This window comes from Homo sapiens, chromosome 12, assembly GCF_000001405.40.
Source record: "Homo sapiens chromosome 12, GRCh38.p14 Primary Assembly".
Lineage (NCBI taxonomy): Eukaryota > Metazoa > Chordata > Mammalia > Primates > Hominidae > Homo > Homo sapiens.
This window is the reverse complement of record NC_000012.12, coordinates 16,456,076-16,469,774: the sequence shown is the minus strand read 5'-3', so window position 1 is coordinate 16,469,774 and position 13,699 is coordinate 16,456,076. Positions and strand designations below refer to the sequence as shown.

The window sequence follows — 13,699 nt, the reverse complement described above, 5'->3', positions numbered from 1 at the left end:
AATTACAAATTACATAGGCAACAAAAGGCAGCTCACTCTGATAATCTGTGCAATTCTGACTTCATTTTACAGTGGCTTCTCTTACAGTGAAGACCACAGCCTTAGTGAATTTTGCCGATACTTAGCTTGAGAGCAGGCATCCTTAACAGATGGGTTCTCTCATCTTCAATAGCCACAAATGCCTTTAAGTCAGACCTGACTGCTTCTCAGATTATCACAATCATAGTAGAAGACAACCAGTGGATCTGTGGAATTCTAGAATGGCATCTATAGGATAGAGCATTATGGCCGGGCATGGTGGCTCATGCCTGTAATCCCAACACCTTGGGAGGCCAAGGCAGGCAGATCATCTGAAGTCAGGAGTTTGAGACCAGTCTAGTCAACATGGTGAAACCTTGTCTCTACTAAAAATACAAAAAAAATTAGCTGGACATGGTGGCACATGCCTGTAGTCGCAGCTACTTGGGAGGCTGAGGCAGGAGAATCGCTTGACCCCTGGAGACAGAGGTTGCAGTGAGAGCCAAGATTGTGCCACTGCACTCCAGCCTGGGCAACAGAGTGAGGCTCTGTCTCCAAAAAAAAAAAAAAAAAAAAAAGGAATAGAGCATTATGCATGTTATGTCAGTTATAGTGCTAGCCCAGCAGCAGTAACAAAGATATCACAGAATGCAATCTCACTCAAATAAAATGGAACTCTGTTTTCTCACATTTAGCAGTGCAGGAATAGGTGGGAGGTTCAAACACATAAATAATTTTGCTCCATCTAAATTCCTTCTACCTTGTCTGTCTACCATCCCCTAGGAGTTTCTCATCTACTGTGCATGACGCTGGATGATCACTACACCTGAAAAGGTGAAAGAAGCAGAGGACAGCAGTGTCATAAGAAATAACTGGACACAGGCCAGATTATCTAGCTGCTAGTGATGCTGAGAAATGCAGTCCCTAGCTAGACAGCCATGTGTCCTAACACCAGAGGGTGGAGATGGAGCTTCTATTCCTATAGGAAGGGGTGAATAAATACTAGGGGACAATTAGCAGTCTTGCCTTAAGCATTTAATTAATCTATCCTACAACAAATATTTTCTGAGTGCCTACTTTGTATATAGCACTCCAACAGACCCAACAGGGATTTAAAATATATATACGTTTTACCCACAAGCAACATTCCATATTTTGATGAAATAAGCTATATACACTCAAGACCTCCAATGATGATATTAATAAAAATGTTGATCATAATGTACTATATCTGGTGTTAAATGAGTGATGTAGAAGATGTGTAAGATGAGTACTCAGTGTCATTTCTTGATAGGAAGATTGGAGGAGACAGCAGCTGTTCTTTTGCTCATTCTTCTTTTGCACTTTTCATCCAACAACGAGACCCGATACAAATGAAGTCATTTCAGCCTTCAAACCATAAAAAGTATAATTTCTATGTTTGAAAAATTGTATAGATACTTGTGAATCTGCATATGTATATACAGATATGTAATTGACAAACAGCAAGCTTATTTGTGTTCATTTTGACCTAGATATGATGCCGATACTCACCTTTTAGTTAAATAACATTCGTTCTTATTGTTAGAGAGGTTGAATCAATCAACTGCATTCTCTAATGATGGAAGCAGATGGAAATAGAATGAGCTTCTGAATCTTCCTCAAGGGCATTGTAGAGGATGCTGCACCCTTAACTGAAAATTGTTGTTTTGCGATAGTTGGCCAATGTAGACATAGTCTTATATTTTCCCTAATTTTGAATTAATACTCTAGAAACCAGCAGCTGACAATGAGCCTCAACAGTTGGTTTCACACCTGAGGCCTCTTTTAAAAGACCATTCTCATCACAGTCAAACAACAGGAGGATATATTAGAGGTGGAAATGAGTGCATTTTCTCTAAGACTACTTAAGTAGGAGTTTCTCTTGAGCTAATTAAGACTCAATTCTATTTCAGAAACTAATGTCTGAAGCAGACACTCTGTTTGGGAATTATTAATATGTAAAAGCAGAAGGTTCCAGAGCACTTGAAATGGTGTTTCTGACTGGTGGATACTCCGGAAAAGTGCTTGTTGAAAATAATTAAGTAAAGTCATATTTTAAACACAATATCAAATGTTGAAGGTGAATGATTATGGTATATAAAAGTATTAATGAGTTCTATGAACTTTTTAAAAGTGGAATAAGCAACACATCTGACTATTGAAAACAAACCTGAAACTCTCACTGTTATGTCTGTGGGCTCTTAGAATTCTTAGCTGACTGGGGGAAAGCACTGCAATCTGTCTAGTTTTACTTTATTCAGAGTAAGTTCTGTATAATATGAGTCACAGTTCCATTTTAAAAGGAAAAATATTTGAATATACATGTTCAACTTACATATTGAATGTGATGGTTTATGTAACCTAATTCAAATAGATCAGCTGGCCTAAACCAGAAAATGCTAATATGGCATGGAATAGCATATTTTTGCCTGGCAACTTCAATAAGCATTCACAAGTTGTCTGAATTGTACTCTGATTTTTGTATAATAAATTGTTACATGTATAAGTAGTAGACCAGAAAACACCATCTTTTCTTTCATGCAATGCATCTTTCACGCAGACTTGAAGGTGGTATTACATTGACCTTCTAGTGAAAATCACACTACATGAGGTTTGTGATTGCTGAAAGCTCTTAGATTTGTGTTTCATATCACATGACAACCCAAATTTTTTTTTAAATAAAAGAACACTGTCTGTGCTGCTTCCTGTCTTTTTACTTTAATAGCAGACATAGGCATCCACCAAAGCCATCTGCTACCTGCTATGAAGTCTCGGGGTCAGACTGCCTTTTATAAGTTACATAAAACTGGGATTATCAGTGGAGGGAAGGGAGTGATAGTTATCAGTGCAACACAATTGTGGAAAATGTGAAATCTTTAGGGAAAAAAAGAGAGGAAATTTCAAAGTGTTCAAAGTTTGAGGCCATGCTTTTCAGTGTCTGACACAAAAGAGAAAGTGTGTTAAAAGAAAGAAAATAGAGAGTTAATTATTTAACCCTTGCCTTACTTTTGCTATTGGTTTCTATCCAGAGGAAAAATGTATCTCACTGGGATTCTTGTAGGTTTCTGTAGTTTCTCCTTTTGTCCCATGCTAATATAAACTATACCCTTTACCTTACCTATCCAAGACCATCCTTCCTTTATTCAAGTGGCTCATATTTAATGACCCCAAAAAATCAGTCTTTTTTTCTTCAGTGTGGTATCAACACTTTCATTAAATCAAGGTTTTAAATCTAAGACCAGATGACAAAAGGAAGCTGTGTTAGCATCTTTGTCATGGCCACATTTCAGTAATGACATATTATGTTAAAGTGTCCTATCAAGCTTCAGTTGTATACAGTAGATTCCTTCACTTTTCATCAGAATTAGTAGCCTTGACCTCGCCAGCTATTTAAAAATTTCAGAATCCTGAGAGAGGGATGGTGGGGTGAAGCTCCTGAACCTTTCACAAATCACAAATTCATTCCTTCTCTTTCTGGGGCACAAAGTTACACTATGCTTGCCAGCCTCCTTCGAGGCTCAGTACAGCCATGGGACTAGCTGCCAATGAATGTGAGCAGAAATCAGAAATGACGTGTCTCTAAAAAAACTTATGGCTGTTTTAATCCATTTATTACACAGATTAATTTTCTTGAATGAACCACCATTTAGGTCTTTACACATATGCAAGTGTTTCCACTAAGTCAATTTTCATTCTTACATCCAGATAAGCGTAAACAGTCTAAAACATAAGAAAAATAAGAGTTATTAGCTATATATTAACTGAGAACGCACATACAAAGAAAAAAGGGCCAAAGGGACAATGGTCGAAGGGGTGTGGGAAGATGTAACTGAGTTGGGAACAAAACTATCATACTTTATGCACTAATATCTCCAACCATTTAAATCAGCAGTCCCCAAGGGTTTTGGCACCAGGGACCACTTTCATGGAAGACAATTTTTCCACAGATTGGGGTGGGGGAAGGAGGAGGATAATTTGGGGATGATTCAAATGCATTACATTTATTGTGCACTTTATTGCTAACTTTATTTCTATTATTATTACATACTCGCCATAATGTAGAATCAGTGAGCTTGTTTTCTACAACTAGACAGTCCCATCCGGGGTGATAGGAGACAGTGACACCTTATAGGCATTAGATTATTATAAGGAGCGTGCAACCTAGATCCGTCACGTGCAGTTTACAATAGGGTTCGGCTCCTATGAGAACCTAATGCTGCAGCTGATCTGACAGGAGGCGGAGCTCAGGCGGCAATGCTCACTCACGACGCTCACCTCCTGCTATGCGATCCAGTTCCTAACAGGCCATGGACCAGTACCGGTCAACTGGCCGGGATTTGGGGACCTCTGATTTAAATGTTAACCAGTTAAACCTAGGCCTTCAAATATAGGTTGTGGCTAGAGTTGAATCCGATTGGTCCTACTTTCCCATAAAATGTAGGTTCGTCAGAATTAAATGTAGACAGAAACAGCTCCATATACTTCACCTTGCTTTTCATAACTGTTTTGAGTTCAAAAGGATTCAGTCAAAAATTATTTCCTACAAGTCAGTAGAGTTCTTCTTCCCTGTACAAGCACAAACCATACCACCACCCCTCCTCTTGCCATTACTCAAATTTAAGTCAATAAAGAAAGCTTTTAGTCTCACACCTAGGTTACATCTGGAGACCTGGCTGGTCATGCACACTTCTCTTCTCAGAGGCAGTGTTGGTACAGGAGTACAGTATTTCTAGTTTGTTATTCCAAGTATAAACAACACAGAGCACTGCTGTGTCAGGTAAATACGTGTGCACAAGGGGAAATGAGGCATGAGCCAATAGAAAGCAGTCAGATGGGAATCAAAAGGTCTTTGTTTTTCAGAGTTTCCCTGGCGTTATGTGTATAAGTTATTGAAAAATTTATTTAAGCTTGTTACATACATTGCAAAGGACTATGAAGCCCTAGGGCATGGAGGGGCCACAAGATGGAAGAATCTCAGTTATCAGAATTATTACCTAAAACCTCATGCCATTCAGGAACATTGAACTCACTGTCACTTGAAGAGGAAACATGACTATTATGTTAAGGCACTGAAATTGTGATGTTATTGGTTACAGTAATATAGGTGAGTACCTTTGCATAGGAATCCAGGGACTACTACATGGTTCTAAAAGGCTAGTTTGCTTTATTCTGTGATTTCAACAATTAATAGCTTGTTGGTTGAACATGACACTTGCCCTTTGGTGAAACACACACAGCCCATGGCTAATTATGTATTACAGGCTCTTAGATTTAAATTTTTCAATCATATTATTATCTGAAACTAAATCACAGTGAGGGTGAAAGAAATCATTCTTTCACCAGAAAAAACTACCCATTCCTTTCAAAGGAAGAAAAACAACAGAAAATTTTTCTCTATTTGCTACCAGCCAGAGAAAAGAAAGATGAAGCTTGGAAGTTTTGCCTGTCTGCAGCATTAGATAACATGAAAATGGGCGGAAATGTAATGAAATAAATGGTACTTTGTGTTCCCGCTACATTTAGTGTTTCATAGTAACTGCGGTTGACCATTCACTATGTGCAGGATCTATTAAAAAACAATCTTTTATGTAAATTATTTCCCATAATTCTTATGACTTATAAAGTCTTTGTATACCCACTTCACAGATGAAGTATAACAGTCAAGTAACTGGCTCACATTTCAATAGTCAACGAGTAATGAAACTGCCATTCGAACCCAGCCTACTGAGTCCAAATATGCTTCTTAACAACCATGCCCTGTGGCCTCCAAAGATAATGATGTGATAGCCAGTCATATACGTTATGACTTCCTATCATCACAGAGAAGATACTTTGAAATTCGAAAAAGCATTTAACGTTAAAGTAATCTTTCTTTTCAAATATGTTGTGGTAGTTATTGACCAAGAGGCAGAAGCAAAGATGAGCTGTACTTAGACAACAAAACAGGCTTATTAGTGAATGTCTTGTGCCTTATTTTCACACTACGTAGGGTAGAAAATATGGAAGCAAGTGTAAAGGCTCAATATTCATATAGATCAAAGGATCAAAGTAGAATCTATTTTTAAGAGCAAAATATTTTTTCTGCTTAAAAAAAAAAACTCTGCCTCACTGATTTCTTTTTTTTTCTTCCTTTTCTTCAACTTTTATTTTAAGTTACGGGTACATGTGCCAGATGTGCAGGTTTGCTGCAGAGGTGAACGTGTGCCATGGTGTTTTACTGCACAGATCATCCCATCACCTAGGTATTAAGCCCAGCATCTATTAGCTCTTCTTCCTGATGCCCTCCCTCCCCCCACCCCCAGAGCATATACTACCTCACAGCGAATGTTCTTCACCGGTCTTTTAAAAAAATTATTGCCAATCTCTTTCTCTTAAGAAAAAAGTGAAGCTGGACATGGTTGTGCACACCTGTAACCCTAGCTATCTGGGAGGCTGAGGCAAGGAGGATGGCTTGAGCCCAGGAGTTTGAGGCCACAGTGAGCCGAGCCATGATAGCACCACTGCACTCTAGGTTGACGGAGAAAACCTCATCTCTAAAAAAAGAAAACTAGGTGTTGGGGTAAGGTAAGGGGAGAGGTAAGCAGTATTAGTCTCTTAATTTTCTGCCTTTCCTTTTGCTTAGTTTTTTAAGAAACAACATAACATTAAAAAATAGATTGACAAGTAAAAATGAAGTGTTGCTCAACTACCCTTTAAGTTTTAGATTAGAAGATCTTCAAGAGAGAGAAAGGGTGGGAGAGAACAAAGAAGACATGTAAGTTAGTCTACAGCGGGTATATCAGATTTGCCAAAGTTATCAGTCACAAAGGAAGTGAAAGAATAGCAAAGCTTCACCATAAGAGGAATAAAATCTCATCACACTTTCCTGAAATGTTGTAGAAACAACGCCAAACCTGTAGCTAGGAGATCTGAGTATTATTTCTAGTTTATAGTTAGCTACCACGTGATCTTGGGAAAGTTACCACTTTCCTTTTCTTTGTGTCTCAGTTTTCTACATTATAAAAAGATGATGCTTACCCTGCCACTAAATGAAGATCAAATCAAGATAAGATAAACAATTGATTTGAATCTGCATCTAGAACAACTTCTGCCAGGATTCTTTCTATTATCTCAGCAAAAATTGTGACTTCAGAATTTCTGTAGTTTGTAATTTCAACAAAGGTTTTTCCTAGTTTTTTTTGGGGGGGTAAAGTGCATCTTTTAATGAACCTTAATATTAATGCATTTATACATTCTAAAAAGATGGGTTTCATAAAGACTTAGAGTTCATTGATGTACTATTTATTTTATCTTATGTACTTGCTTGTGTTACACAAGACAGCAAATGCTGTCCTCTGTAGATTATATTAATGGATCAAGAACTAGAAGGTCTCTATGGACTTATTATAACCTTATGAAAGTCATCTTTTTACTTGAAATTTCTCATCTGTTTAAAAATAGTATATTCACCCTGTTCCTTGAAGAAGGTTGGTTGGAAGTTTAAAAATTTAACTGATGCAAAATGCTTGCAAAAGCTCCAAACAACTAGAAAATGAAACATATTCATATCTGCATATGTAGATACAGTATCCCAATTTTCTGAAAATGTACTTTTAATAATGAAGTAGTATCTAAGGTGAGATGGGGAGCAAATTAACATAAAGTGTGTGATTGCTGATCACAGGTTTTTTTTCCAGCTGTTCAGATCCATATCCTCAGTCAGATTATCTGTGGGTGATGAGACCTTAGGAAAACAGGCTTCTCATATATCCTCAAATCACATGAAACAAGGTATATCCGGAATTCAGTGTCATACTTTATTGTTAGGAATAGCTATTTCAAGCCAACTAATCATCTTGGTAAACCAAGTAAGATTAAAAGGTGGTTGGGGATAATACATGATAAAGACGATAATACATGATAAAGACGATTATGGTGTCTTTAAGGTCATACCCAGGAAAAACAACCAATTGTTTTGGTGTAGTTGTTCTGGGTACAGGTTGTTTCAATTATTCTGTCAATGTTCCTGTGAGATAATTGAGACACATATTAATATTCTGTTTTTTGCTAATAATTGGAAAGCAAGAAAAGCACATGTGTTTTTCAAGGAGAGTTGAAATGTTTTTTTCTCATGGGTTCGAACCCCTTCTCATGTTTATTTAGAAACAGACTCTTATCCAAAGAACCTATTTTTCCTAGAGAGTTTTTATATTGTTGGTGCCAAGACAAAATATTGACTTAATAATAAATTGACATGCTTTAAAACATCCAAGAGTCATAAAGGATCATCTTTGGCAGGCAAGTGTTAGCATAAGAAGTGCTTGGAAAACCATTCTGGTTGTACGTCTGATAAACTGTTTGGAATGATGTACCTTAGTGAGTCTGACAAGATCTAGAAGTTAAGTAATATAGAATAACTATATAAGTCAAATGCAGAAAAATAATTAATTTAAATCCCCTTAGTGTTCAGGGTATCTATGGATTAATAATAATTTGCATCTTTAATGCCATAAGTAACCTAGGCAGCCTGAGTTTGAACAAGGTCAGTGATGTTATGATGTGCTTTTTTTTTTTTTCCTTTGGGCATTCTTTTCCAATATTCCAATTTATTGAAATAACCCATTATCCTCTTAACTTAGTTGTCTCCAAAGCACTCTACTCTATAGTCTTTGTTGTTGTTTCTATTACTTTATCACTTCTATTTTGTCTCACTCTTAATGTGCTCCACATCCACTTCACTCATTTATTCTATATCTTCCTCTGAATCTTCTCCTAAGCCTTTTCCACTCTGCAAAAAGGTCACATAATTACTAATACCGTATGATTTAAGAGATACCCAGAAAGCTTCTTGCTTTATAGTATCTCCTTTAACAGCCTGCTATAAAGCCTAAAGTTACCATTTAAGAGTATTTTGTTAAGGTTAAGGGACTGCATCACCTGACATCTATTAAAACACACATGCGCTTATGAGGGTTAATTCATTTAATCATCTACTCAATAACTACCTGTTTTTAAAAACAAGGCTATTACAATATAGCCTGAATTTAGATCTAACATTGTTGATGATGGAGCGTAGAGAATGAGTTAGAAGTTATTAAACTGGAGGTGATTAACACCACCACCAAGAATATAAAATATTTTTCAAAAAAAAAAAAAAAACTGACCTGAATTAGATGCCTACACAAAAGCCCTAGGCAGGCTCAAGCCGAGTGGGAATGTACTCAGAGGAGGATGCCTGGTCAGAACAGAGACCATTCGAAGGGGAACCAAAATCTTTAAAGAAGGTAGGAATATGTAAGAGAAAATAGTCAGCAACTTCCCATCTTGTAGAGACCTATCTATGTTTTGGATAGCACACCTCACCTTGGCCTTCCGTGAACTCTAACCCTCCCACCAGCCACAAGTCTTCAAGCACTCTCTCCATTCCCATTCCCGATTCCTCCAGCAGAAAATGTATATGCCATGCTCTCCACTCACTGCTTCATTGAATGATAATAGCTAAAGTGGACATTTAGGTTTTCATCCAAACATTGCACTGCCACACTGTTAATAAGACACCAGGGCTATCCAAGGCTATCCAGACATATGACACTCTAATAACAACTAACCTTTATTAAGACTTCATTCTGTGCCAGGCACTATACTAAATTTCCTACATGGACTGTTTTATTTAATCCCAATGTCATTCCTATAAGAGTATGTTCTATTGTTCTTATACCACTGAGGAAAGTGAGGCATAGAGAGATTAAGTCACATTTTTAATCCATTAACCTTCTGTTTCTACAAGACAGAAGGTTTTAAAATGTAGCATTCAGATTTCTAAAATATGCCTTTTCCATATCTCTATGTGGGTCATTATTCCTCTTTTAGGTCATTTAAGCAAAACCGCCACGGGAGACTTTCCCATAAGGAGAGACATGCAATCCAGGCCATACGCAAAGTTAAATTCCTGCTGGGCATTGTATATATCAAGGTCATGAGAGCAAAAGATGTGGTTGAGAAGCTGAGTTCCAGAGTTACTCTGTGTGACACTCTAGTAAAAACCTGCAGCACTCTCTGGATCAAGATAAGATTCTCTACTTTACTCCCTGGCCCTTGATCTGACATTCTGTTCCCACCTCTTGGTCATTCTCGACCCCAGTTGAACTAGACATTGTTACTCAGCAAGGAAGATCCAAAAATAAAATTTGTCTATGTGTACCATTATTAAATTAATTCTTAAATAATAAAGGGCTGCAGGATCCATGACCTATGACTTGGATCACTTAAAGGAGATTATCATCTGTAACTCAGGCTAACCAAAGGGAGAAAGGAAATAATGTTTATCTCTACTAACTAGGGTAATAAATATTGAATGGAAAGGTTCTTGATTCCATTTTCTTCCTCATTCACCACATTGTACCAAGTTAAAGAATCCATGCCGTAGGTCATTTAGAGGCTTTGAAGCTCATGGTATTAGCCACAAGTTTCTTAGGTGATGATATTATTATACCCACACTTCTTGAGATTTAAAATTTCCAGGAGGTTGGGAATCTTCAAGAGTTTACTATCCATCATTCTATTAGGAAGTAGAAAGGAAGTGAATGGAAGAACCAAATAATAACTGATTAAATTTAGAAAAATAAACAGAATAATTTCTTTAATTGCCTTCAAAATGGACAAATCTTATTCCCAATGTCCTGTCTATCATAAAGTTTTAATAGACTTTTGTCGTTTAAAGCATTTTCTAATTTGATGATAATAGGTAGGCCAGGGTTGCTAACAAGGCTCAGCAGTGCTCTGGGTATGAAATTCTGCCTCAGATAGCTTGGAACTACTTAGATTTCTGTAAGAATTCCCTGCTCTCAGCTCAGCAGGATAGGTCATATAGCTTTCCTAACAAGCCACTACTTATCACTGAACATGGAGACTTCAAGATGTACTTAACCTTGATGGAGGGAAACCTTGTATCTAATAAAGAAGAATAAAAATTCCGAATAACTGCAAAGCACTGCAGCAGGCAAGCTGCAATTCCAGTCATATGAAACCTCTGTTTACAGTAAAATGATGATATGAGTCACAATAACTCTCATATAAATACTCAACTGCCTACCTACTGATATTCCATGTTTATAATATATAATTTCATTTTCATACAAGCTTATTACACATATTAAAGCAATACTTTTCCTTGTACAGCCAAGATTCATTGATAAAGCAATGAAGTGAACTAACACCCTTCCTAAATAAAGTTTCACCAATAGCATCGTATGTTAATGGACCTATTTCATTGTTAATGTGACTGACTGCTTATTGATTCTTGCAGGAATCCAGCAAGGGCTTCAGAGTACAATTTAGTTTGGAGAACTCTGGGTCCAACATCTATGCTCAATTACAACTTTCAGAAGGAGAGATCAATAAAATTTAAATTGCTTATGGTAATCACAACTTCAAATCATTGCGATCAGCATAAGCAATCTGCTGACCCCAGCCAAGCTCCTAAATTGAAACTTGTAATGAGTGGTCATTTAGTTTGGGTCCATTCATATTATTTTGGAGGCAGGTGATGAACAATTAAAGATCAGCTGGCACCTTCGCTGCACAACATTCCCATCTTTATTCCCAAAGTATTAATATGCAGTAACCCTCGGGTTCACGCTTTTGCACTTCTTTAATGGGTATTCTGTATGAATAAGCAATTATATTTTCTATTAAACAATTTCAGTGTAATTGAATTAGCAGTTATAATATTGCTAGGGCAAGCAAAAGCTTTCCTAGGGAAAAATTAAGTGATATTGGGTAGTGCAAATTAATTTATAGAACTGAAAAATGTAACCAATTAAACAGAATTGCCTTCACCTCCCCCTCCTCCAAAATACAATTAAGCAGCACATTGTTTCAAAGAATATGTTTCAGAGCAATTTGTTTTCAATCATAATAGCTGTTTTTCATTCATTATGAAAAGCTGTCTATTATAATGAAAATTTCATAGGCAGTTTTCCTTGACAAAGCAGCTTGCAAGTTTAAACAAAGATAGCCTGCAGATTACTTCCTTGATAAGGAGTCACCTTAGAATTACATTTTAATAAATCATTGAAAATAAATCTTCTGCATTACAGCATGAAGGTTTAGAGAAAGAAAAAGCAAATAGAGAGAAACTAATCAATGAAAATCTCCTGCTGCCAATATAATAATAGATGGACCAATGCTAATATATAAAGTGTATTACACTCACACACACAGCCAAAAAGAAAAATGTAAGATAAATATCACGGAAGTCAACTGTCACAAATGAGACTTGAGTAATAATCCCATCTTTACCATTCATCATTCCTACTGTGCCTCTTCCAAGCACTTTGCTGAATTATAAACTAGGGTATTTAGGCCACATTTTTTGCAGCCTAATAAGATGACCAACTTTGAATTAATACGACAATTTAGAGCACACTCCTAAGTTTCTTAAAACAAAATCAAATGTAAATGTATATACATATAAATGTAATGTACATGTTTATGAACACATATATTTCTAAAGGAGTTTAGGACTGTAATTGGAGTAATTCTAAATATTTAATAAGTATGCATTAGTAAGAATTTTGTCGTAAAAATATTTAGTTAAAGTGATGTCAGTTATTTTATTAATGCCTGGATATGAGAAGACCCATGCAGAAACCATGAGTCTCTCTATATGAATTGTATTAAAAGGATGGTCCAAATTCTTTGAACAGTAGAGGAACTTAAAATGCCTTTATGCACGGAGTGACAAGTCAGGTTTAGGACACGCGTGCATTTAGGATGGACTGGAAGGAACAGAGTAAACCAAAGAGAGGGAGAGCTGTTAATGACTCTGCATTAGTCCAGGTTAGAGGGTGAACATTCAAATTAAGGAAGAAGTGGAGAAACAAATGCAAGTTATCAGTTTTCAGAAGCTGAATTGACAGAATTTCACATTTGATTGGCTGAGGAGAGAATAAGGATGAGGACTTCAGAATAGCTTGAGGTTGCCATTTAAAAAAAGCCCAAAGGTTGACGGTGCTTTTTATGAGTTAGAGAATATAAACTAAGGAGTACGTAGGGGAGGTGACTCAGTTTGTGTGTTAATTTATAATACTTCCAAAATACTGAATTAGATTAATGTTCCTGAGCCCTCAACCTCTGTTGGAATAGTAGTGATTGAAAAAGACGTTTATTGTAGAAATAACTACTGATGTTCCTTAAGTAAGTTTGTCTTTTCATATTCCTATCTAACTTTTAATTCAGTCCATGAGTTAAGCCCATTGTCTGAGAGGGTATGGCTTATGTACTTGGATAGAATATTTGTGTGAGCTAATGATATAGCTATTTTAAAATTAGAATTAAGATTTAAAACGTTTTTTCAAAAATTAAGATAAACTATATTTTTTTATTCAGCTTCTGACAACTAATGATTAATATTATAAATGATGGTTTGGGGCTACAATGTATTTTATCTAACATTCAGAAAATATTTGACAATAACTTATATGCATTTACAAGAATTAGCTATCGACTTTCTCCAATTGGGGAAAAATAGGAACACTACATATTTCCAGAGTTTATAAACAAAAGGTTTAACAAACTGTAACTAGCAGGTTTTTAATTTTTTTATTTTAAAATTATAGAGACATCCTGGAGCCGGGCACGATATCAGGCATATAACAGAAACTCAATAAATATTAAATAA

The 13,699-nt window shown here is 36.3% G+C and overlaps 1 protein-coding gene across 1 annotated transcript in view, besides 1 other annotated feature; it reads right to left on the bottom strand.

Annotated features, from left to right (window-relative positions):
* Positions 1-13,699, bottom strand: part of MGST1 (microsomal glutathione S-transferase 1) — a 246,217-nt gene that overhangs the window by 123,557 nt on the left and 108,961 nt on the right. The gene's annotated exons all lie outside the window — the stretch shown is intronic.
* Positions 10,773-12,664: an enhancer, noted in NCBI's record as "VISTA enhancer hs607". NCBI's record gives its function as "enhancer in: neural tube[4/7] | hindbrain (rhombencephalon)[4/7]" and the evidence as "EXISTENCE:transgenic organism evidence [ECO:0001131][PMID:17130149]".